Source organism: Homo sapiens, chromosome 16 (assembly GCF_000001405.40).
Source record: "Homo sapiens chromosome 16, GRCh38.p14 Primary Assembly".
Taxonomy (NCBI): Eukaryota; Metazoa; Chordata; class Mammalia; order Primates; family Hominidae; genus Homo; species Homo sapiens.
The window spans coordinates 84275699-84302301 of NC_000016.10; the positions used below are offsets into that span (position 1 = coordinate 84275699).

At 50.4% G+C, this 26603-nt stretch overlaps 2 protein-coding genes across 5 annotated transcripts in view; both read left to right on the forward strand.

Moving 5' to 3' along the window:
- Positions 1-10852: 10852 nt before the first annotated feature.
- Positions 10853-19140, forward strand: LOC124903734 (uncharacterized). Its single transcript, XM_047435022.1, has 6 exons — positions 10853-10971; positions 13219-13348; positions 16000-16278; positions 16801-16852; positions 17819-17937; positions 18635-19140. Exons 3-6 carry the CDS (start codon positions 16275-16277, stop codon positions 19138-19140), a joined length of 681 nt encoding a protein of 226 aa, XP_047290978.1. The 5' UTR covers positions 10853-10971; positions 13219-13348; positions 16000-16274.
- A 39-nt stretch (positions 19141-19179) lies between these two features.
- WFDC1 (WAP four-disulfide core domain 1) overlaps positions 19180-26603 on the forward strand; it is a 34967-nt gene continuing 27543 nt past the window's right edge. For all 4 annotated transcript variants that reach the window (NM_021197.4, NM_001282466.2, NM_001282467.2 and 1 more), the window contains exon 1: positions 19180-19417. In NM_021197.4, coding sequence (NP_067020.2) covers positions 19274-19417 — 144 coding nt within the window. In that variant the 5' untranslated portion in view covers positions 19180-19273. The remainder of the gene's footprint in view (positions 19418-26603) is intronic.

The window sequence follows — 26603 nt, forward strand, 5'->3', positions numbered from 1 at the left end:
TCCTTCCCCCTACAGCATGAACCCCTTAAGGTCAGCAACTATGTCTTCTTTTATTCATTCAATTCACTCATTCATTCCATTTCACCTCCTCCCATTCATTCATCCCATTCATTCACTATATCTCGTGATTCATGCAGTTCTGTGGTATTTATTCACTCTAGGCCATGCCTCTGATTTTATCATTCTATTCATTTATGACAGTCCGTTTCACTCCATTTTATCCACCTCATTCCTTTTCATTTCCTTCATTCTCTGTATTCTGCTTATTCAGGTATTTATTCCACTCTACTTTGTTATTGAATGAAAGCCACATATTCCATTCTATGTGCCCACGGTGTGCCAGGCACCGGGGCTTAGTTCTAGACTGTTGTGAGGTTGCATCCACTGGCTTTTAGGGCAGAAGGTAGCACCTGGTTTACCTGCTCAAGTGTGTGTGTATGTGTGTGTGTGTGCATGGGTGTGTTGGGCACATGCATGTTGCTTTCCCAGGACAGGGAGGGGCTGTGCAGGCCCATGCTCACTGTTTCTTGGTTTCTTCTGCTTTAGGGAAAGCTGTGTGTTGCTGAGGCCGCAACTTGGGTATGAACCTAGGTCAAGATACCTAGTACCCACAGGGGTCAGATTCTAGTCCTTGGCCTCTCTGAAGCTAAATAAATGTGATTAATTGAACTGACTCAAAACAAATGGTTTTGCAAAATCTTGGAAAACAGTTCCATTCCTTTTGGTAGGTCAAATACTTCTCCTGTAATCCCATTTCAATGCTAGAGAGTTACTTTATCATGTTATATATGTGAGCTGTCATTTATAGAAAAATGGGAGAGCAGACGCAAGTAAAAAAGGGAGGATTCCTGATGTCACCCCCTAGAAATAACCAAATGCTAATGTATTAATGTGTATTTCTTCACATTTTCCAATGGACGTATATACATTAAAATATGTGTTTTTTGCTGGTGGCTCATGCCTGTAATCCCAACACTTTGGGAGGCTGAGGCGGGGGGATCACCTGAGGTCAGAAGTTAGAGACCAGCCTGGCTAACATGGTGAAACCCCGTCTCTGCTAAAAATACAAAAAATTAGCCGGGCGTGGTGGTGTGCGCCTGTAATCCCAGCTACTCGGGAGGCTGAGGCAGGAGAATCCCTTGAACCCGGGAGGCGGAGGTTGCTGTGAGCCGAGATTGCGCCATTGCACTCCAGCTTGGGCAACAAGAGCGAAACTCCATCCCCCCCAAAACAAAACAAACAAACAAACAAAAACATGTTTTTTGCAAAAACTGAAATATATAATACATTATGTTGTATAATTCATTTTTATCACTTAGCAATACATTACGAGCATTTTTCCAAGTCAATAATTATGTACCATTTCAATAGGGGCATAGAATTCCATTGCCTAAATCTATATAATTCCATAACCAATTCCTTAAGATTGAACATTTGCCCCCCCCCACCCCCACCCCCATGTTTTATGATCATAAGCTACATCCCCGATGGGCATCTGTGAATGTCATCTTCTTCTGTAGTTGTCTTTATTGTTATTTCGCTTAGCCAGTTAGGTGGAGATGACAGATTAAACTCAAACCAGCTCTGTTCAAATCATGACAAATTTCATTTTATAAAGGGAGGAGATTAACCAGGCCAGTTAGCTTGGAACTAGGCAATGTTATATACTCTGTAGTTTAAATAACTCACTTCTTCCCTTAGTAGCATCTGGATGCTTCCAGCAGGGGGCGCTGTGAGCCAGAGCCTCGTCAGGCGCGGACGCTCTCAGATGCCTAATTCCGTGGTGGGTTGCAGTCCCCTACCTGGGGCCCTAGCTGTCTCACTGTCTGTTGGCAACTCCAGTTCTTTCTTTATTTCCTTATTATTATTATTTTTGAGACAGAGTCTGGCTCTGTCGCCCAGGCTAAAGTGCCATGGTGTAATCTCACCTCACTGCAGCCTCAACCTCCTGGGCTCAAGCAATCCTCCCACCTCAGCCTCCTGAGTAGCCGCAATTACAGGCATGTGCCACCATGCCCCGCTAATTTTTTAAATTTACAGTAGAGATGGGGTTTCCCTATGTTGCCAGGCTGGTCTTGAACTCCTGGGCTCAAGCGATCTGCCTGCCTTGGCCTCCCAAAGTGCTGGGATTATAGGCATGAACCACCGCGCCTGGCTTCTTTCTTTCTTTTCGCTTTCTCTCTCTCTCTTCTCTTTTTCTTTCTATTAATTCAATTATGCTCACTTACATCTACCCTGGACCAGTTCTCTCAGATTCTGCTAAATACACTTATCAAGGTAGCAAAAGCTAGAGTACTATTGTGGCAATTATCCTAATACCTTTTAAAAGTTTCACCATTTTAAAGTTTTTAGCATTTAAGATTTTCCTTTGAAACCTCCTTTCATTTAGGGAGTACAGTGTTAGCCAAACTAATGATATACAGGTGGCTGTCCTGTGGCCATGAGAGGTGTGGATATACCAAACAGAAACATGTCCACTGTTCGGGAAAGATGTTGGTTCTGGTAATGCCTCTTAGTATTGGGCTCTGTTAATTTTATAGATCTTAATTCTTTTCTGCTCCCCTGACTTAGAGACATGATTTGCTTAAAATGCAGGTAACAAACATCAGAGTCGATAGGAGCTTGCCTTGTGGGAAGGACTGATGTGATTTGTGGATGGAGATGATAGTGATGAATTTCCTAGTTTTCACTGGGCTGTTTTTCTTTTCACGGGTAGTCATTTTTGATTTGCGCAGCGCTCCTGTGCGGCAGGCGTGGTTATTATCCCATTTGATGGGGAGGGAACTGAGGCTCCGAGAACTCACACACTTGCCTCAAGGTTCATTTCTGGGAAGCAGCAGGGCTGTGGCTTGAACACAGGGCCGTGCACCTCAGGGTCTTTGCACCTGCCATGCCCCCTGCCTGGATATGCCTTTACTTCTCTCTGCAAGAGAATTCCTTTCCATCCTTCCAGTCTTGACTAGGACGTCAGCTGCTCTGGGAGGGCCTCTCTGGCCTCCACCCTACGCAAGCCGTTCTCATCGCTCGCCACTCTGTTTCATTTTCTTCATAGCACTCACCACTGTGCGGGATTATCTTGTTCATTCATTTCTTTCTTGTTTACCGTGTGACATCCCCACCCCCCAGCAGAATGCAAACTAGTGCATTCTAGTGCATCCCTAGTGCAAGGGAGCAGCGACCTTGTCTCTGACCTCTCTGAGTCTCAGTACCCAGCACATGGCAGATGCCCAGTAACTATTTACTTAATAAATGAATGGAAAATTTCCGCCATCACTTTTGAATCTATCAGCTTTTGATCCAGTTGGGATGGAAAGGAAGAAGAAAGGCAGAGAGGAAATAAAGATGGTAACCTTTTTGATGCGGGAGGGCATGTATTTTGCAGTGAATACACGTGCTGGTCCTGAGTCTGCTGTCGCTTCTTCCCTTCCCCCACTCCTGCTCTGCAGGACATCACAAGGGACTGCCTCTTGCAAGCAGCGTGTCCCTGGCTCTCCTTCTGTCACTAGGCTCAGCCAATAGGCAGCATTGTGGGGAGTCTGAAGGGGAGGAAGAGGGAAGCCAGGGCATTTCTCCCCATCTCTCTGGACAGGTCTCTCCTTGGACGGGGTTTCTACCAGTGGCCATGCACCCTCCGTGGCCCCAGCTTTACTGGGCAGGCTACTGTGATTCCAGCTTCCTCCTGCAGCCCTAGATCCTGGGTGGTAGAAATGCCCCCTCCTCTGTTTGTTGCTCGCCCTGCAGATGGGGCAGTGCTTCTTGCCATTCATCTCTGGGTTGCCTGGTCATCTCTTATGTGGTTTCTTGGCCCTTCTGTTCCTTGTATAGCCAATTCTCTGCATTAATCTCCTCTGTTTTCAATATCCAAGATTGTTTCCATTTTCCCACTGATTAATAAAAAACCTGTGCCTTTGTTATTAGAAAAATGAAAATATAGGCCAGATGCAGTGGCTCATACCCATAATCCCAGCACTTTGGGAGGCCAAGGGGGGCAGATCACCTGAGGTCAGGAGTTCAAGGCCAGCCTGGCCAACACAGTGAAACCCTGTCTCTCCTAAAAGTACAAAAATTAGCCAGGCATGGTGGTGGGAGCCTGTAGTCCCAGCTACTCAGAAGGCTGAGGCAGGAGAATCGCTTGAACGTGGGAGGCGGAGGTTGCAGTGGGCTGAGATTGTGCCACTGCACTCTAAGCTGGGTGACAGAGCAAGACTCCATCTCAAAAATAAATAGATAAAATAAAAAATAAGCGTTAGAGAAACCATGGGAGGCCTGTTCTTGAGGAAAGGGAAAGGCTGAGCAGGCGCGTGGGCCTGAGCGGGGGCTGTTGCCTTTCCCACAGGCCTGCTGTGTGTGAGCCCCACATGCCCGGCCAGGCAGCGGCTGGGAGCTTGAGTTCTGGATTTATGCGCCCATCACGCTGTGATTTATTATAGGACAGCTTGTTTTTGCAAGCGATAGATTTATTTGCACCAGGCGCTGCATAATAAGGATCAAGGACTCTTTCTTTCTCTCTTTTTAAACTCCTGCCATGCTAACGTGTTCCCCAAGGTCCCTGCCAGGATGGTCATCGGAGAGCTCAGTGTGCTCTACTGTCCCATGGATCACTCCAAGCTGTCACTGACCTCCAGGAAGGAAGAACGAAGGGTTCCATGCGGCGTCTCCATGCAGGTCGTGACAGTGGGGCCCGTGGTTGAATGGCATCCAGTTGAGTTCCTGATCTCTCTTGGGTGGGCTCCTGGCTCTGGATGGCTGCGGATCATCAGGCAGGTCAGTGTCCTGAGCTCTTAGGTAACAAGGGATATTCCCAGGAAAAGGTGGCTCAGCTCAAGCTGAGGCTTCCCTTCCCTGCCAGGGCAGCTCTGTCACTGTTCTCCGGAAAGCAGGTTGGCCAGGTGCATAAGTGGAACTGGGTTCACATCCCAGTCCCACCAGGTGGAATCGGGCAGTGTCTTCACCTCTCAGCCTTGGTTTCCTCTTCTGTTAAGTGGGGTCACAATAGTAATCGGCACCTCAAAGGGCTGGTAAGAGGACTAAGGAGAGACCTACACACAGGGTAGGGCACACAGTAGTTGCTCATGAAATATGAGTCACTCCACTCCCTTTTCCCTTCTGCTTTCACAGCTGCTCATCAGTCTGGCTGGATGAGAACGTGATGTGTATCAGTCAGGATGTAGTTGGTGGTCAGCAAAAGCTCAACTCAACTAGCTTAACCCTAAAGAAGATTAGTTTGTCCCATGTAACAAGAAGTCCAGAGGTAGGCTGGCTCCGAGATTGACTAAATTCAACAGCTCAGCGATATCACCAGGGACTCAGGATCGTCCCCCACCCCGCCCGTCCCCCCACTGCCAAACGCCATCATGTCAGTGTTGGCCTCACCCTCTGATTGGCCTTCCTCACAGTCACAGAGTGGCTGTTGCAGATCTGGGCATCGTATCCCTGCTGGGTAAAGTCCAGACGTGCACCTGAACCATCACTTTCCTGCATCTCTGAGGTATGAGGACCACTTTCCCAGAAGCCCCTAACCTGACTTCCCTCCCACCTCATTGGTCCAAATCAGATGACAGACTGATGCCTGAACCAATCACCAATAAAAGGGGGAAGGAATACCTGGTTGGCTCTTGGGCAATCAGCCACCATCACCACTAAGGAGGGGCTTGCTTTGAAACTCTGCTGTCACTGCCCTTCAATTTCTCCTCTCATCTCTGGATCCAGCAAGAGCCGTTCTGCCCCTCAAGACCCTCATGAGTTTAGAGTCCAGCAGGGATTAGAGCCAGGGGCAGGTGTCATGGAAATTCCTTCCACCATGGCCTCCACTTACTTGACTGGCCGGCTTCCTCTCTTCTGTGGGTTTAGAAGTCACCCGCTGGACACCGCTCCTTCCCGCCCAGTCTTAAGGGGGTTGTCCAATTCCCTAACGTGCCTAAAGTCACTTTCCCAGGCTTTCTTAGGCTTTTGTGTCCTTACAGCATCGGTCTTCATGATCTTTGCCTTCTGACTGATGGCCCCCTTCATGACGGAGGGAACCCGCTGACATTTTGCCCAGGTCCCCTCGCCTACCAGGACCCCTACCCGTCATCACCAGGGCCCGCCATGGGGCATCCCCAGAAACACAGGTGGAGCTGGTGTGTAGGAAGGTGGGAAGCAGTTACTTTCCTGGAAAGTTGGTGTACTCTGGGAAGAGCTTGTGAAATTGCAAGCTCACCTCCTGGGAGACGCATCAGCAGAGGGGGATGGCCTGACGTCCAGCTTTTCTAGACTTACAGTTGGTTATTTGTTAATGACATTCCTGGCAAGTGACAGCTTTGAATGGTTCTGCCTGGATCAGCTTTTATGAAGCCAACACCAACATCTTCCTGGATCGTCTGACTTTGACCTGCCGCAGAGGACCCTGAGCCCCCACCCAGCCCACCACAGCGGGGTGGGGGGATGAGCGATGGACTGACAAAGCAATGACATTGGGGGGCTGGAGCTCACTTTTCTTGCCCTGACCTGGGGTGTGGGGTGTGGGGCGTGGAGTCCTCAAATCGGTTTCTTCTAGCAGGTCCTTTTTTTTTTCTACCTTATTTTTTCATGGAAGTAAAACTCAAAAAGTTAATCAGTGTAGGTTGGGCGCCGTGGCTCCCACCTGTAATCCCAGCACTTTGGTAAGCCAAGGCGGGCGGATCACTTGAGGCCAGGAGTTTGAGACCAGCCTGGCCAACATGACAAAACCCCATCTCTACTAAAAATACAAAAAATAGCCGGGTGTGGTGCATGTGCCTGTAATCCCAGCTACTATACTCGGGAGGCTGAGGCAGGAGAATCGCTTGCAACCGGGAGGCAGAGGCTGCAGTAAGCCAAGATCACAGGTCTGCACTCCAGCCTTGGTGAGACAGAGCGAGACTCCATCTCCAAAAAAAAAAAAAAAAAAAAGTTCACAGTTGGAAAGTGTAAAATTCAATGGCATTTAGTACATTTGCAACGTTGTGCTGCTGCAGATGTGGGGGCCAGGCCAGCCAGGTCTGGGAAGTGTGACGTCAGGAAGTGGATGACCCTCAGGTTGCTGACTGTCTGAGGAAGGCCCTGCAGAGTCAGGGCAGAAGCACTGGGTTGGGAGGGCAGGAGCACCCATGGATGCCTTCGGTGAACATTCTCTGAGCTCCTACTGTGTGTGCGAGGTGCACAGTAGATGAGAAAGAAAACAAAAAAGACTCAGTCCCTGTACTTAGGGTGCCCACCATCCCGTGGGAGAGTCAGGCATTGACAGAAATGTCGCTTCCACCGGGCACGGTGGCTCACGCCTGTAATCCCAGCACTTTGGGAGGCCGAGGCGGGCGGATCACGAGGTCAGGAGATCGAGACCATCCTGGGTAACATGGTGAAACCCCATCTCTACTAAAAATACAAAAAAAAATTAGCCAGGCGCAGTGGCGGGTGCCTGTAGTCCCAGCTACTCGGGAGGCTGAGGCAGGAGAATGGCGTGAACCTGGGAGGCGGAGCTTGCAACGAGCCTAGATAGCGCCATTGCACTCCAGCCTGGGCGACAGAGCGAGACTCTGCCTCAAAAAAAAAAAGGAAAGAAATGTCACTTCCAACTTCAGGGTTGCATAGGTGCTGTCAAGCAGAGGGACAAGGGCTATGAAAGTCTTCTCTAGGGGAACTGAGCTGGCCTGGAGATCAGGGAACATTTCCAGGAGAAAGGGACCGACTGTCTTGCTAAGGGTTGAGATATGAGGAAGTTTTAACAATTTTTTCAGCAAAGAAAACAGGGAAGAATGCCCTGGGGAGCGAGAACAGCGTATGCAAAGGCTCTGGGGTGAAGAGTGCGTGGTGAACAGGCACATGGAGAGGGTCAGTGTGCTGGGCCGAGGAGGAGCGAGAGGGAGCGCCGAGCGGGTGAGGGCAGGTGGGGGAGAGGCCAGATTTGTTGGGCCTCCTGGCCCTGGCTGCTGAGTAGTATCATGGGGGAGCTTTGGAACTAACTGGTTAGGATGTAATTGAGTCGGGTTCTGATTTACTTGGTCTGGGGTGAACCCGGATGTGGGTGGTGTTGAACCGCACCTGGTGCAGGTGATGTCAGCATGCAGCCAGGCTGAGAAAGGCTGGGTCTTTCAAGTCCTTTGTCCTGAAAGGGCAGGGGCAAGGTTTTCAGCTTGGGAGGTGGGAGAGCGGGAGCGGGTCTCACAATCGTATTTGCTTTTGGAGGAAAAATGAAAACAAATGAGCCACAAGCCCTATTTTGGGGGTCGTCCAGGTCCTGAGCTTACAATCGAGAGAAGAGCAGCAGAGGCCCAGCCCCTGCAGCTGGAGTGGGGCTGCGTCTGCTGAGGGTCTGGGCTCGGTTTGGTGCGGGGAAGGGCGGCAAGGCCAGCCTAGCTTTTGGACTCACGCACTCCTGGTTTCCCGACTTCCTGCTGCTTGAAAGACGGCCTTTTTTTCCTGCAGCAATCCCACATGGCAGAATGAAGCATGGGAGGCCACGCTGACCAGAGCCCAGGGGTCAGTTTCTGGGTGGTCTGGCCCTGGATGGGTTGCCCTGTGGGGGCGGGAGAAGGAGAAGAGCAGGCTTTTTGGAGTGCGAGAAAGCGGCCGGGAGTCCCCTGACTGGGAGAACAGTCCACTGTGTGGGAAGGGGGAGAGGACCATAAGTGAAGGTCGGTAACAGGGCAGCAGGGATGAAGTGGGGTCAAGGTCTGACTCTCTAAGAGGGCAGCCCCAGGGAGCATCTGTTTCCATTCACAGCCGGGAACAGGGCTGGGCGGGGCCAGCCTAAAGGCCGATTGTGCAATGGGAGGGGCCTTTCCCATATCCCTGCTCCCTGCTCTTTGCGAAGGCTACAGTGAGGAGGGAACCACCGTGAACTAGGCACCTCCCAAGTGCTGAGGGCCTTTAGGCTGATCTATACTGTCTCATTTAATTGTCCTGACTTCCTGGCTCAGAGAGTGGGAAGGCTGGCCTCAGGTCACACAGCGCAGTGTTTGGGCCCAGGGCTGATTCCTCCCATAGACATAGCAGGCACAGTGTCCAGGGTCCGTGAGACTTGGAGGGGCCCAGGAAGGTGTTTTAATTTTTCTTAAAATAGGGGAAGAAAAAGAATATAATCCAGCTTGTATTATTCATCTTTTAAGTCAATGCACCTGTAAAAGATGATTGTGAATGTATTTTTTTCCGTAGAGAAAGGGGCCTGCAAAGGCAGAAGTGCTAGGACTGGTCACGTCATGTGGCTCTGTTTGGATGGTGCCACCCTGCCACTCAGGGCCCAAACCTAGGGTCTGCCTGCCTCATCCTTCCTATCCTCCCCATGGCCATTGGGCTCTAGCCCTTCTCTCGCCTTTGGCTGCATGATCCCTCCAGCTGGGTCAAATCCCTCACTCTGTGCCCGTGCTGCACCTGACCTTCCTGTAAACACATCGTATAAGGGTTTCAAGCACAGGTTCTGAACACCAGTGTCTGGGTTCGAATCCAGCTCTGCCACTGATCAGTTGTGCGCAGATGATGAATTCTTAATCTCTCCGACCCTAATCCCTTGTCTCTAAAGTGGGGATTGCAGGAGAACCTACTTATCAGAGTTTTGATGGATGAATGGTGACTGTTTTAAAACCACTCAATTGTTAATCTAAGACTCAGTTTCCTTATCTGTGAAATGGGGGTGATGATAGCGCTTACCTAGAAGAGTTGTAGTAGGTTAAATGAGTGAATATTCTTATTTTTGTTTTATTTATTTAGTTTTTGAGACAGAGTCTTGCTCTGTTGCCCAGGCTGGAGTGCAGTGGCGCAATCTTGGCTCACTGCAACCCCTGCCTCCTGGGTTTGAGTGATTGTCTTGCCTCAGCCTCCTGAGTAGCTGAGACTACAGGCACATGCCACCACGCCTGGCTAATTTTTGTATTTTTAGTAGATGGGGGGTTTCACCATGTTGGCCAGGCTGATCTCGAACTCCTGGCCACATGTGATCTGCTCCCCTCAGCCTCCTAAAGTGCTGGGATTACAGGCATGAGCCACCATGCCCGGCTACAGTGATTATTTTTAAAGCCCTCAAAACCATGTATGGCACCAAATGGTGCCATCTGAGTGATTATTAAAAATACTGATTAATATCTGGCCCTTCTGTGTGGCAGTAAGCCTTAGAGGGGCTGCGGCTGGGCCTGGTTTTACTCTCCTTGGTGTCCTCAGGCATGACACATAGTAGGTACTCACGTATTTGAATGAATGAATGAGTGTACTCTGCTCCTCCTCCTCATGCCAGTATGTTTCTCTCTGCTGGAAGTCGTTCACACTTTAGTATGAAGTACAAATGAATGCTACCTGTCCCCTTTGCCTGATCTGATCACTATGGAAGAAAGGTTCTATCTCCCTGGGAAAGGAATGTGAGGCCTCAGTGCCCAGGTCGGGGCGTTTTATCGGCGGTAGAGAAGAAGGATGTTTTCCTGGACTCTACACCTATGAGCGTGTCCTCTGCCTCCTTAGAGCAAGGCATTGAAGCACTTGTGCCCTTTATATTTTTAAAGATAACGACCAGGCACGGTGGCTCACACCTGTAATCCCAGCACTTTGAGAGGCCAAGGTGGGCGGATCACCTGAGGTCAGGAGTTCGAGACCAGCCTGACCAACATGGAGAAATCCCGTCTCTAGTAAAAATACAAAATTAGCCAGGCTTGGTGGTACATGCCTGTAATCCCTGTTACTTGGGAGGCTGAGGCAAGAGAATTGCTTGAACCCAGTAGGCGGAGGTTGTGGTGAGCCGAGAGATCATGCCATTGTACTCCAGCCTGGGCAACAGAGCGAGACTCTGTCTCAAAAAAATAAAAATAATAAAATAAAATAAATAACGAAATAAAGATAACATTTTTCCTCTTTTTTCTGAGGGACAGAAGCCTTTGGCGGGCAGCAGAGGTCAAACCCCAGAGCAGAGGAGATGAGAGGCCCGGCCAGTTCCGAGGCCTTCCCAGAGGAAACCTCGCCCACAGATCTGCAGGAAGTTGAACTAATGAGTTGGTGAGTCCCCAAGAGGACTGCCCGCTAAGTTGGGATCAAGTTCAGGCTGCCAGAGCTCAGATAAACTAGAAGGGCCTCTGCCACTTGGGACATACAGTTCTGAGCCTGGCAGGAAGCCGGGAAGGGGTGGTGGCCCTGAAATCATGATGGCACGCAAGCCCTGGGTAGCAACATCAGGCCCCAGCTGGGAGCATCCAGCCCGGCTGTCAGGCTGCGATCCTGACTTGTCACTGATCAAAGGAACGCAGCTGGTTTCCCAGGCGGATTTGTTCTGTGTTTATTTCTCCTCTTGGAACTTTTCTCCTCGCACACAAGACCTGCAGTGCTGCTGTGTTCTCCGAGTAGTTACCTTTCGTGTCTCAAAAACTTCAGAAGGTGGTTTTATAAGTTAATGATTGTGAGAAATTAACTGAGGGGTCACTGCTCGGCATCCTGGGTCCCTGTGGTCTGAATACTGCTGCGGAGTGGATGGCTCAATAGAAGAACATTTATTGAGTGTCTCATGTACCACGCCCTGTGTATATTGAGGAAAGCACTTTGGAGTTCAGTCACTAGCTGGGACTTTGGAAAGAGCCCCTAAATTCTGTGGCCTTCCATCTCTTTATAGAACAGGGATCATTCCTGATGGGGCCATGATGATGACATTGATTCTGTCCATCGGTCCAGGACTTACTGAGGGCTGATGCTGCCCAGTCCCTGTGCGAGGCGCTGGGTTGCAGGCAGTAAGAGACATGGATACTTGACCTTGCAGAGCCTATATCCCACTTGTGGGTATAGGACCTTCCTCTTTTTTTTTTTAATTTTTAATTTTTTTTTAACAGGGTCTGGCTTTGTCGCCCAGGCTGGAGTGCAGTGGGGCAATCTTGGCTCACTGCAACCTCTGCCTCCCAGGTTCAAGCAATTCTCCTGCCTCAGCCTCCCGAGTAACTGGGACTATGGGCTCCCACCACCATGCCCAGCTAATTTTTGTATTTTTCATAGAGATGGGGTTTCCCCATGTTGGCCAGGCCGGTCTTGAATTGCTGACTTCAAGTGATCTGCCCGCCTCAGCCTCCCAAAGTACGACCTTCCTCTTGATGCTGTAACAAATGACCATAAACTTAGCCACATGGATGGAGCTGGAGGCTATTATCTTAAGTGACCTAACAAAGGAACAGAAAACCAAAGACCACATGTTCTCACTTCTAAGTGGGAGCTAAACGTTGACTACAAGTGATCGTAAAGATGAGAATGATAGACACTGGGGACCACTAGATGGGGAAGGGAGGAAAGGGGGCGTGGGCTGAAGAACCAGCCATTGGGTGCTATGCTTAGGGCCTGGGTGACGGGATCATTGGGATCTGAAGCCTCAGCATCATGTAGTTTAGCAGTTGCGAACTCAACAAGTTCACAAGTCTATGATTTTACAGTTCTGTTGATTAGAAGTCCCACCTGAGTCCCACTGGGGAAAACTCTAGGGGTTTGCAGGACTGTGCTCCCTCTGAGGCTCTAGGGGAGAACTTCCTTTGACTTTTCCAGCCTCCAGGGGCTGCCTGCATTCCTTGGCTCATGGTCCCTTCCTCCATCTCCAAAGCCACAGCGTAGCGTGTCAAATCAACTTTCCCTTGACTTCCACCCCCACCCGACTTCCACCATTCATCTCCTCTGACTCTCACTCTCTACCTCCCTCTTACAAGGACCCTTGTGATTATGTTGGTCCCACCCAGATAATCCAGGATACTCTCCCCATCTCAAGATCTTTGCTTTAATCCCTTCTGCAAAGTCCCTTTTGTCAGGTAAGACCACATGCTCGCAGGTCCTGGGGATTAGGATGTGGACATCTTTTAAGGGCCCATGATTCTGTGTACCACAGGGAAAGAGACCATCAGTGGTAAACATAATAAGTACATTTCATAATTTATTAGAAGGTGATGAAACTATGGAAAAAGAAAGCAGGACAAAGGGGGTTGGGAATTTAGGGTGGTGTAAAAGAGGCAGATGGTGATTTTAAAAGCTCAGTTGGGGTAAGCCTCATTGAGAAAGCAAAATTGGAGCACAGACTGGAAGGAATTGAGGGATCAGCTAAGCAGGTATCTGGGGAGAGAGCAACTGGGGGGCTGTGCAAAGGCCCTGGGGTGGGAGCTGTCAAGGAAGAAGCTAGAGCAGAGTGAGCACAACGAAGAAGTGGAGATGGTGATCTCAAGAGCCCAGCACTGTGCCAGGCATATAGTAAATGCTCACTAAAAGAGGTTCCTGTCCATGTCCCAGAGAAAGCTTCGGAGATGGACAACGCTCAGCCCTGTCCTCAAAAATTTATGGTCAAGTGAGGACAGAGGAACATGTACAACCGTCTTCTACATACTACTCATTCAACACTCACGACAACCCTGTGAGACAGGTATGTTACTCCCATTTTACAGATGAGTCAACCAAAGAACAGAGAGGGCAGGTGACTTGCCCATGGTCGCACAGCTGGGAGGTCTCAGAGCAGGTGTCTGTGCCCGAGCAAGCTGGCTGCAGAGTCCGTGTTCTTCTTTTATTAAATTTCAACTTTTATTGTAGATTAAAGGGTATATGTGCAGATTTGTGACACGGGTAAATTACATGCTGCTGAGCCTTGGGGTCCCAGTGATCCCATCACCCATGTGATAAGCATAGCACCCAACGGGTGGTTCTTCAGCCCACGTCCACTTTCCCCCCTCTCCCATCTACTGGTCCCCAGTTTCTGTTGTTCCCATCTTTATGTTCACATGTATTCAATGTTTAGCTCCCGCTTATAAGTGAAAACATGTGGTGTTTGGTTTTCTGTTCCTGCATTGGGCCACGTAGGATAATGGCCTCCGGCTCCATCCATTGGAGCCCTGGCTGCAAAGGGCATGATTTTGCTGTTTTTTATGGCTGCACAGTATTCCATGGTGAACAAGTACCACGTTTTCTTTATCCAGTCCACTGTTGACGAGCACTTAGGTTGATTCCACGTCCTTGCCGTTGTGAACAGCAGTGTGTAGCAAACATTTGAGTGCATGTGTCTTTATGATAGAATGAATTACTGTTCTTTGGGTATATTCCCAGTCGTGGGATTGCTGGGTTGAATGGTAATTCTACTTTAAGTTTTTTGAGAAATCTCCAAACTGCATTCCACAGTGACTGAACTAGTTTGCCTTCTCACTGAGCGTGTAAGTGTTCCCTTTTCCCCACAGCCTCGCCAACATCCACTGTTTTATGACTTTTTGTTTTTTGAGACGGAGTTTTGCTCTTGTTGCCCAGGCTGGAGTGCAATGGTGTGGTTTCGGCTCACTGCAACCTCCGCCTCCCAGATTCAAGCGATTCTACTGCCTCCCAAGTAGCTGGGATTGCAGACACCTGCCATCACACTCAGCTAATTTTTGTATTTTTAGTAGAGACGGGGTTTCATCATTTTGGCCAGGCTAGTCTCGAACTCCTGATCCCATGTGATCTGCCCATCTTGTCCTCTCAAAGTGCTGGGATTACAGGTGTGAGCCACTGCGCCTGGCCTGTTTTATGACTTCTTAATAGCTGTTCTGACTGGTGTGAGATGGTATCTCAGTGTGGTTTTGATCTGCATTTCTCTGATGCAGAGTCTGTGTTCTTAATGTTACTTGACGTTGCCATGTTGACCTCACCCACAGCCATGACTTTGGCCTTGGCCTTGACTTCTATCATGACTAATATATATACATAGAAAAAAAGAAAGGCTACGTTGGTTATCTCTGGATACTGATACTAGATGTATGTATTTTAAAGATTTTGTTTATTCTTTCCTCTGTTTTCCCAGTTCTCTGCTAATAAACATGAATTATGCTATTAGGGGAAAAAAACCATAATATAATAACTTTTAAAAATTCTGAATTAGGCTGGGTGCGGTGGTTCACACCTGTAATCCCAGCACTTTGGGAGGCTGAGGCAGCTGGATCACCTGAGGTCAGGAGTTTGAGACCAGCCTGGCCAACATGGTGAAACGCCATCTCTACTAAAAAAAAAAAAAAAAAAAAAAAAAATTAGCTGGGTGGTGGCTGGTGCCTGCAGTCCCAGCTACTCGGGAGTCTGAGGCAGGAGAATCTCTGGGACCCAGGAGGAGGAGGTTGCAGTGAGCCAAGACCACACCATTGCACTCCAGCCTGGGCAACAAGAGCGAAACTCCATCTCAAAAAAAAAAAAAATTATGAATTAGAGACCAGATAAAGAGAGGAGTAAGGTAGGTATTAGCAGTGAAGTGAAGGTTTGAGCTTGGGTGTCTGGTTAGACAGTGATGGCCTTGGCTGAACCTTAGAGAAGGAGTTTGATATCTCAGACAAGCAAAACTTAATAGAAACATAAGGCAAGCCACATGTGTAATTGTAAATTTTCTAGTAGCCATGTGAAACAGATACGGAGCCGGGTGCAGTGGCTCATACCTGTAATGTCAGCACTTTGGGAGGCCGAGGCAGGTGTATGGCTTGAGCCCAAGAGTTCAAGATCAGCCTGGGCAACATAGTGGGACCTCGTCTCCAAAAAGAAACAGGTACAGTTAATGTAATACCATATTATATTTAACCCAATATAGCATAAACATTAGTAGTTGAATTAGCAGTTGAATGCACGACCAACGTAAAAACTCCTAATGAAACGTTGACATTTTTTTTTTCCTGTCTCCAGCCAACAACAGATGCTGGTGAGGCTGTGGAGAAAAGGGAACGCTTATACACTGTCGGTGGGAGGGCAAACTAGTTCAGCCACTGTGGAATGCAGTTTGGAGGTTTCTCAAAGAACTTAAAGTAGAATTACCATTCAACCCAGCAATCCCACGACTGGGAATATATGCAAAGGACAGTAATTCATTACTGTCATAAAGACACATGCACTCACAGGTTTTCCAAATCGGGTCTGCATTTTATCCTTATGACAGATCTCATTTCAGACCAGCCATGTTTCACAGGGAAGCATGGGTAGAGAGCGACAGCCACGTCGAGCCATCGAGCTGGTAGATGAAATGTGTTAAGCACAACTCATTCATTACACCGTCTTTACTGAGTGTCTACTTTGCACCAGGCACTGCTTAGGGATCGGCGATTCCAAAGTGAACAAACAGATCCCCAGAAGCTGCCCCCGTGGAGCTGACATCCTAGTGTGGAGACATAGACGATAAACGAAGAAAGCAAAGTTAGTAAAATACAGAATATGTCAGGTGGAGATGAGTACGAAGAAGCATAAAACCAAGAGGGGCACCGTGAGTCCCAGTGGTATGCAAATGGTGGTTTTCAATCCTGGGGTCAGAGAGGACCACAGCAAGAAACTGACACGTGAACAAAAGTCTGGAGGAGGTGATGGGTGAGGAGTGCCGCAGCTGGGTGGAAAAGCATTCCAGGTGGAGGGCGCTGCAGGGGCACAGGGCTGGCGCCTTGCCCAGCAAGGAGGCTGAGAGAGGGCATTTGGAACCTCGTCTACCCAGAGGGAGGGGAGTCATACTGTTGGCAGAAGTGAGGCCACCCAGGGAGAGAGAGAGAGAGGCAGGAAATGGGCCAAGACTGTAACATCAATGGGAAACGCCTACATTTTAAGGGGAAGGTGGAGATGGAGGATGAGCAAGAACCACATGGGAGGCGTTAGCTGCCTTAGGAGAGCGCAGGGCCCCAGGTTCCAAGCAGCAGGAAGTTTCTCAAATGGAACCTGGGCCAAGGTTCCGCTCTGCCTGGAGAACAGGGTGCGGGTGGAGGAGGCCCAGGAGGCGGTGCCTCAGAACGCTCATCTCCTAACAGCAAGCATGTGCTGAGCCTAGATCCTCGCCTAAGTGCAGCTGGGCCTCATGGCAAACCTGCGAGTAAGTTCTGACTCCATACCCCTGTTTTACAGATGAGAAAACAGAGGCAGAGAGATGGGGCAGGACCTGTTCCAGGTCGTCCTGGTAAGTAGGGGTAGCAGCTCCATCATGTCCGTGGGTGGCTCCTGGCTTCTAAATAAGCAGCCTTGCCCTGCAGGGAGGGGCATTGAGACTGCGTCCCATAAAGCTGAAAGAAGAGGGAGTGGAGCACGCTGGACCATGCCCCCATAAGGGCTCAGCCAGTAGTTTCTGGATGAAGAAATGAAGGAATATTCTAGAATCTAGGGCAAGGTAATGATCAGGGCTGGGCCTAGCGGGAGGCAAAGGAGGCATCTAGGGTCTAAAATGTAAAAAGACTCTCACGCTTGGGCTCCTGGGTTTACAGGACTCTGATGGTGAACTTAAATTTTGCATTGCTCACTGGGCAAGTGTCTTAACCTCTCTGTGCATGGGATCCTAGACAGCACCTGCTTATAAGGCTAATATGAGACCTAAAAGCATTAAAATGCAGGAAGTGCTTCAAACATTGCCGAACACACAGACTGTATGGCTTTTAAGGTTTTTTTTTTTTGATACAGGGTCTTGCTCTGTGACCCAGGCTGGAGTACAGTGGCGCCATCACAGCTCACTGCAGCCTCAACCTCCCACGCTTAGGTGATCCTCCCATCTCAGTCTCCCAATTAGCTGGGACTACAGGTGTGCATCAGCACGCCGGGCTACTTTTTTTATTTTGTATTTTTTGTAGAGATGAGGTCTCACTATGTTGCCCAGACTGGTCTTGAACTCCTGGGCTCAAGGCATCCTCTGCCTCCCTAAGTGCTAGGATTACAAGTGTGAGCCACCGTACCCGACCTACACAGACTATATGTGTTTGCCACTATTGTCATTCACTAAAAGGCCAAGAGGGGTTGATGATACCTGCCCAGGGCATTCTGAAGGCTGTGCTGGCCAGGAGGTGGGGGGTGAGGGTCCCCAGGGAGGGAGGAACCAATCTTTCTGGAGCACTCACTCTGTGCAAGTGCTGGGCACAGCTGGCACCCTCTCCTGTAGCCCCACATCGATCTCAAGAGGCAGAGACTTTCACATGCCCATTTCACAGATGAGAGAACTGAGGACCATGAGCAAGAGGCTTTCCAGCATCTCGCAGAGGCTGAACTGGGATCAGGCAGGTGCGTCAAGCCTAGTGCTTGGGTCCCTTCTGCTTCGCCTAGGGGGGTGCCACAGGGTCTGACCTACCTGGGTTCCAGCCTCCTCTCTGCTGCTGTTGCATGACCTCAGGCAGCCCCCTCTGTTTCCTCATCTGTAAAGCGGGCATCAAAACAGTGTCTGTTTTGGGGCCGGGTGTGGTGGCTCACACACCTGTAATACCAGCACTTTGGGAGGCTGAGGCGGGCAGATCACTTAAGGTCAGGAGTTTGAGACCAGCCTGGCCAGCATGGTGAAACCCAGTCTCCACTAAAAATACAAAAATTAGCCAGGCATGGTGGCACATGCCTGTTATCCCAGCTACTTGGAAGGCCGAGACAGGAGAATCGCTTGAACCCGGGAGGCAGAGGTTGTAGTGATCTGTGATCACACCACTGCACTCCAGCGTGGGTGACAGAGCAAGACCCGTCTCGAAAAACAAAACAAAACAAAAAACCAGTATCTGTCTTGGAAGTGCTGAGAACAGACAAGGGAATATGAAGTTTGTGAAATGTTGAGCCCGCTGTGCTACATTCCTGTAAAACACACACGTGCACATGCACACCCACGTGCACACACGCATACACATAAATGCACATGTGCAGATACACCGGCTGACAGTGACAGCACACTTATGTGTGTGAAATGCTTTATGTGCTCAATTTCTTTTAAATCTCACAGGAAACACACGCTATGAGGAACTACCCACATGCCCACATCAGGCAGGAGGACCCCGGCGGGTGCAAGGGTGGAAGTCGTCTCTTCATGGCTGCACCCTTGGCCAGTGCCAGTCCAGCAGCCTCTTTCAAAGAAGCTTTTATAGGCAGATAGTTTGTCAGCCCAGCTCGAAATGTGAACAAGGTAGCAGCCGAGCCCCCACCCATCCGGCTGCACTCCCCTGCATGTCCAGCCCCGAGCCCTGTGTCAAGCACACCTCCTTGGGAGGAGACCGCCCCAGCCTGCAAGGAAGTGCTCATTATGGAGAGTGGAGAGTGACAGGCCACTCCCGGCCACGTCTCCAAGCAAGCCGGTGCCCCCTCCTCCTGCTGCCACCGCCCACTGAGCTGCCTGGGCTGCAGACGCCCTGGTTGGAGCGTCTGGGGCCAGATGTTATAGGGCAAGCTAAAAATAACCGGGCAGGCCAGCCACCATCGAGGAAGGGGCATGTGCTGGACGCGGACACATGATCCGAGGGACCCTGCTGGGTGGAACTAAGAAAGTCCAGCAGACTGTGCACGCTCCTGTCCCCACTCACAGGCCCACGCAGCGAGGGGGGCCCCTCTTCTGTGTGCGTCTGGAAGGTCGCTGCCCAGGGAGGAAATGCCTTTAACCGGCGTGGGGCCGGGCAGCTGCAGGAGGCAGATCATCCGGGCTCTGTGCCTCTTGCTACTTCTCCTCCACGCCGGCTCTGCCAAGAATATCTGGAAACGGGCATTGCCTGCGAGGCTGGCCGAGAAATCCCGTGTAAGTGCCTGGGATGGGGAGGCTGGGGCAGCCTGTGTGGGTGGGAGTCAGCCTTGAGGAGAGGCGATCCCTAGACACTGCCTTCTCCTGTAAGTGCTCCCCCAAAACGTGGCAAGGCAGGCGTCTTCCTATCCGTGTGTGTCTGAGTTGTGTGGTGGGCAGATGGGGCTCACCCCCAAAAAAGGACCCTTATCTGTGAATCAAGAGGCAAAAGACACATCACAAATGTGCCAAAGAATCGTGCCTTACTTTTGCCTTGTTACAAAAGTATGCTTGCTCCTGAAAGACAGCATCTCATTTCGGAACCCCAGGATTTAAACGGAGCATTCCGTCTCCCTGATCAGTACCAAATGTTTGTGAAATACACTTATGCATTCATGTGGTTGTTTATTCATTCAGCAAACAGAATGAATACACTCTGTTAAACAGAATTTAGCAGAAACCGCTCTGGGGAAGGCACTCTGTGGGGTCCTGTGGATACAAGATAAAGGAGGTACCAGCCCCCATCCTCAAGGGTGGCGTGGCCGAGGTGCAGAGGCAGTTGGGTGACAAACGATGGCAGTACAAAGAGAAGGCATGAGGCAGTGAGTGGCAAGAAACACATGCCCTGGGGCCAGATGTCTGGGTGTGAATCGGGCTCTGCTGCTCATTAGCTGCGTGGCTTCTCTCAGGCAAGCTGCTTGACGTCTCTGAACCCCAGCAATCTCATCTGCAAAAGACAGAGGGATGCATTTCTTCACACAACTATGTCTGGGTCGCCACTGTTTACCAGGTACTGTCCTAGGCTGTGGGGATACAGGCCTCACATCTCTGCCTGGGGAACTCAATGGGGGGCTGGGGGCAGCAAAGAATAAATGAGAGAGATCTCATTTATTAGTATGTGCAGATTGCAAGTGCTGAGGAAGCAATAAAGCAGGAAGGGAACTAGGAGAGAGAATGGGGTGGAGGAGGCTATCATTTTTGGTTCCTCCCACCCCCCAGAGATCACAGATCCGCAGGGACGGAGTGAGCCAGGACGATATCAGCACACAGAGGGCTCAAGAAGGTAATGCTGGCACCCACAGCACCTGTGTGAGGATTGAATGTCTCAGTATGTAGAACGTCTTTGCAACATAGCAAGCTGGCAGTGCATCTTGGCAGCTTTCAATCAAATAATTGTGACTTTGTTTGGTGTTGCCTAACAGGGTAGCATGTAGGTTCCTTGGGGTAGGGCAGGGTTCTGTTTCACTAATGTGTGCCCCTGGTGCCTGCCATTAAGTTGACGCCTGGTACATTCTTGTGGGTGAATTATGAGCGGCTGCAGTGGTAGCACGGGATGCGTGTGCAGCTCTTCCCCAGGAGAGTCAGACAGGGTTTTTAGGGTTGGGGACAGTGGACCTGTGGCTTTAAAGGATAAATAGGAGTTTGCCAGCTGGAGAAGAGGGAAGGGAGAATGATTAATGACCCCAGGCATAGTGGGGTGCCTGAAACTGTATTGAGACAAATCTGGGCCTCCAGGGCTCATATTCTCCATGTTCGGCACATGCTCGTGGCGGGAGACAGGAGGACTTCGAGAAGTGGAAAGAGTAGTAGAGTGACATGATGAGGCGCTTGGAGAAGGGAAAGCTCATGTGAGATGGTGTAGTCACCTAAGGCTTCCTGGAGGAGGTGGAGACCTTGACTGGATCTTGGGGAAGGATTAGGAATTAGGAGGAGGAAGGAAATTCCTGGAAGAAGGCTCAGCATGAGCCGAGGCTCACAGGCAGAAGTGGTGCATCTAAGAGCTGCTTGGGAGACCAGACCTGGCCAGAGGGGAGGCATTGAGGAGGGGTGAGAGACTCTTCTCAGATTTTATTGACTCCTCCATGCTCTTCTCTGGTGCAACAGGATGATTTAACCCTCAACTGTAGTTAGTAGCACTTTGGTTCTACAACCATAGAGAGATTGCCAATATGTCATCTGATTTTATCTCCACCATGTCCCAAGATGTCATAGGAGCCAGCACTGTGACATCCACATAGGAGGGTCAGGGTTGATATGCGCGGGGGATTTGGGGGAGTCTCTAAAACACAGGCCTGGGTGGGCTGCAGGAGCTGATTCACTTGTAGCCACCACTGGTCAGGATGCAAGTGCTTTGAATTGGCTCCTCGCTGAATTGAAACTTTCCCTGGTTATCAACAGATATTGGCCTCCTTCCTCAGCGCCTAGACATAGGTGAGGTTTATGCAGAACAACTGTGCCAGCCAGGCACGGTGGCTCATGCCTGTAATCCCAGCACTTTGGGAGGCCGAGGCGGGTGGATCACCTGAGGTCAGGAGTTCAAGACCAGCCTGACCAACATGGTGAAACCCCATCTCTACTAAAAATACAAAATTAGCTGGGTGTGGCGGCAAATGCCTGTAATCCCAGCTACTCAGAAGGCTGAGGTGGAAGAATTGCTTGAACCCGGGAGGTGGAGGTTATAGTGAGCCGAGATTGTGCCATTGCACTCCAGCCTGGGCAACAAGAGTGAAACTCTGTCTCAAAAAAAAAAAAAAAAAAAAAAAAAAAAAACTGTGCCTCAGAGAAAGCCCTGGGCGAAGACAGGCTGTTCGCCTGTGGCTCAGAGGACAGGGAGGGCTGGGAAGAGCACCTGGCCTGGAACTTATCACAGTGAAATCTCTAATGTGCTGTGCAATCTTGGACCACTCGCTGCCCTTCTCTGGTCCTCAGTCCTCACCTGGGAAATGAAGATGGAGAACCTATGACTTTCATGGCCCTTTCGTTCGACAGGGACTTACGGATGATAGGAAGCAGCCCCCACATGCACAAAGTCGAGACTTCCCCGTGAGGCACCACTCCCTCACCCTACGCTGAGTGAGACCTTCAGCCTTGGCCCTGACCCTCAAGGGCTATGGGCTCGTCAGAGTGAGGAGATGCTGGCTGTGTGCTGAACTGGCTTGCACCCCCTCTGGAGAGCCAGTTTTGTTCCACACAGCCATGATCACAAACTAAGTTATATAAACTTACAGTTAAATCATTTGTATTAAAAAGAAAGGAAAGAATTTTTTTTTTTTAAGACAGAGTCCCGTGGTGTGATCTTGGTTCACTACAACCTCCACCTCCCCGGCTCAAGTGATTCTTGTGCCTAGGCCTCCTGAGTAGTTGGGATTACAGGCATGTACCACCACGCCTGGCTAATTTTTTGTATTTTTAGTAGAGATGGGGTTTTGCTGGTCTCAAACTCCTGAGCTCAGGTGATCCGCCCGCCTCGGCCTCCCAAAGTGCTGGGATTATAGGTGTGAGCCACCGCACCCAGCCAGGAAATACTTCTTGTTAGAAATGCATCACTTTCCAATTGTATTGCTCCGTTTTGCTATTCTCTTGGCTCCTGGGGTTTTATGTCTTTTGCATCCGTGTGGTATGACCAGGAGAGAAGCTACTCCACATCTCTTCCCACTCCCATTCAGTGGCCTCACGTGGGTTGCCTGAAATCAACCATGCTGGGAGTATTTACACCTTGGAAATTGGCCAGGGCTACATGAGGAGAGCTGGTGGTTCAGTCCTGACCAAGCGCAGGGCTGCCTGTAGCCTGCTCTAGTCTCTCAAAGCCTCGTCCCCCGGCAGAGTGAGTTTTGTGTAGCGGACTGGTCTCTTAGAGTGGGGCCGGTTAATGTCCTGAGTGCTGTTTATGCTTCTTGGTCTAAGCATGCAGAGACAGTGCCAGAGATGAGCACGCTTGCCTTCCATTCCCGTGGGAGGCCCTTAGGAGAAGCTTCTAATGAGAAGTGCCGGGTCTCCCGCCTTCTATCTCTAAGACCTTCAGGAGTTTCCTTCTCCTATCTGAGCCTCGGTTTCCTCATCTGCAGCACGGGACACAGTAGTGCCTGCTTTGCAGGGCTCAGTAAAAAGACCATAGAGCCCACAGTTCCCTGACTGGCACAGAACTGCATTCCCTACATGTGCACTACGGACAGATTTAAAAACCCATTCCAGGCCGGGCACAGTGGCTCACAGTGGCTCATGCCTGTAATCCCAGCACTTTGGGAGGCCAAGGCAGGCAGATCTCCTGAGGTCGGGAGTTCAAAACCAGCCTGACCAACATGGAGAAACCCCGTCTGTACTAAAAATACAAAAAAAATTAGCCGGGCATGGTGGCGCATGCCTGTAATCCCAGCTACTCGGGAGGCTGAGGTAGGAGAATTGCTTGAACCCTGGGAGGCGGAGGTTGCGGTGAGCCGAGATCGTGCCATTGGATTCCAGCCTGGGCAAGAAGAGCGCAACTCCATCTCAAAAAACAAAAAACAAAAAGCAAAAAAAAAAAACCAAAAACCCCATTCCAGAACCAAATATTTATGAGAATGAATAAAACAGAAGCAGAACGTTTGTAAATAGTCCAATAACCTTTCCATGGAGCTCAGTCGGTTCTGTGGACTTGGTGTTTTTGGTTTTTCTTTCCTGGCATTAGATGAAACTCCTGAGAACAATGATTTACTGAGCGCTTACACTGTGTCAGGGCAAGAGTTTGCCACGTATTCGCTCTTGGGAGCCTCTCGACAAATCCACCGGGTGGGGCCCATGGCAGCCACCATGCGGGCCTCGGTGCTATGCAGCCCCTGGCCTGGGCAGGCTGGCCCCTACTGTCAGTGTGACTGTGGGTCTGTTTTCCCCTCTAAGCACCCCTCCAGGGCAGCTGGAAATGGTGGTTCAGTTTGCACCCTGCCCAGAGATGCCTGTCCTGCTGAGGGGGGCTGGGAGGGGCTAGAGCAGCCAGGAGCTGGTGCCACTTTCTCTTTCAAATGCATCCTGCCAGACGGGGGGAGGGAGGGGAGCATTGCATTGTCTATCTGGAGGCACCCCCTGTGCTAATAGCAGTAGGGGACTGTAGGAGCCAGCAGTGGCCCACAACTTGCATTCCTCAGTTCCCCATCTCCTTTCCCCCATTATTTCTGTGAGCTCTTGAGAGCCTTCCAAACATCCTTTTATTTTTTGCTGAGATAGCAAGAGTGGGAGAAGCAGATGGCCTGGAGCTGTGCTTTCACCATTCCATGAGTTCTGACCTTCACCTTCATCTTTGTACCGTAAGCATCTGTGTCTGCTGGCCTGAAGGCTTTCTCTGGCTGCAGGAGCCTGCTCAGCCCACACACAGTCAGGCCAAGGTGCCGGGGAGGTAACACCTGTAGGAGCAAATGGAGCTGGAGCCCGATGGCCCAGCTGGCTTCTCAACTTTGGTGGGACACGAGTGAGGAGTGTTCCACACGGTTTCTCCAAGGTCCACTGGGTTTGAGCTCTAGTGCCCAGGCAGCCACCTGCTCATTAACACTCCCTGAAGGGCGCCTTCCCTTTCCTGCCCAGCTTCCCACTCCCCAGCTGGGGCTTCCTGGGATCCCCTCCCAAATGTACTCCCTGCACTCGAATCCTGTCGGATCCATGCTGTGGGTTGAACTGTGTCCCCCCAAAGATATATCCAACCCCTAACTTCTGATCCTTGTGAATGTGACCTTTTTTGGAAACAGGTTCATTACAGGTGTAATTAGTCAAAATAAGATGAAGTCATGCTGGAGGTGGGTGGTTCCTTAATATGAACCCCGTTCCTTATAAGAAAAGGAGAAGGGGCCAGGCATGGTGGCCCACGCCTGTAATTCCAGCACTTTGGGAGGCCGAGGTGGGCGGATCACCCGAGGTCAGGAGTTCGAGACCAGCCTGGCCAACATGCTGAAACCCTGTCTCTACTAAAAATACAAACATTAGTTGGGCATGGTGGTGCATGCCTGTAATCACAGCTACTCAGGAGGCTGAGGCAGTAGAATCACTTGAACCTGGGAGGCGAGGTGGACGTTGCAGTGAGCCAAGATCATGCCATTGCACTCCAGCCTGGGCGACAGAGTGAGACTTCATCTCAAAAAAAAAAAGGAAAAGGAGAAGAGACATAGAATCAGAGACACATGGAGAGAAGGCCATGCAAAGACAGAGGGTTGCAGAGGTCAGAGTGATGTATCTACAAGAGACACATGAGGGACCAGAGAACATGAGGGACTGCCAGCCACCACTGGAAGCTGGGAGAGACATTGAAAGGTTTTCTCCTTAGAGCCTCCACAAAGGAACCAACCCTGCCAGACACCTGGATCTCAGCCTTCTGGCTTCCAGAACTGTGAAAGAATCCACTTGTGTTGTTTTAAGCCCCCAGCGTGTGGCATTTTGTTGCAGCACCCTCGGACACGAATACAGTCTGCTCTGGGCATCAAGGGAGTCAGCTTCTGTTGGTTGCAACCGGCAACGAGACATTTCACAGATAAGGAAACTGAGGCCATTGCAGAGAATGACTTATCTGTGCTGTTTTGGCTGGGGACAAGTGGGGCTATCACTATATCCCCAGAGTCTGGGAGCTTTGTCTGCTCCTTGAACCAGGTGAGCTCACACCCTGCGGGACTTCATCATCAAGACTATGAAGATGCCTACGTCTTGGGGGTCAGCGGGTGCTCAGTAGGCTCCGGAAACCCCCAGCAGCACCCAGGAGGGGGTCTTCAAGGCTCATGGTTGAGAACCCCAGAAAAGCCCCGGAGCTGCCTGGGTGCTGGAGAGAGGGGATATGTCGTACTGATGTGAAGCAAACTTACTGTAGGCTTGGCCACACCCTGGTGTCTAGCCCAGAACCTGGCATGGAGGGGGGACTGGAAGGAATGAAAAGTCCATGAATAGCTGACTTTTGAGGGGGACCTTAGGCAAATCACTTTCTCCTCGCTGGGACTGAGATTCCTCATCTGAGGTCCCAGCCCTGAAATTCCAGGTGGAAATCAACGAGTAAAGAAGCATCCCAGGTCCCTGTGTGGTTATCACTCGGGAGAGGGAGACAGGAAAGCAGGACACCTCTGTGCCAGCACTCACCGCAGCCACAGGGCAGAGGCAGATGGATGCCCATGGGGTGAGCACATCGCACCTGTCCACTCAGGGGACTAGAACTCAGCCATAGAAAGGTACGGAGCCTGGACACACGCCATTGCACAGATGAACCTCGAAGACATGATGCTGAGTGCACAAAGGCCACGGGTGTGTGACACTGTTTGGATGCAACGTCCAGAAGAGGCAAATCCAGCGGGACGGGAAGGAGATTCTTGGTTGCCAGGGGCTGGGGGAGGGAGGAATAGGGGGCAGCTGTCTGATGAGAACAGAGGTTCTGCCTGGGGTGATGGAAAAGCCGCAGAAATAGATCATGGAGGTGGTTGCACAC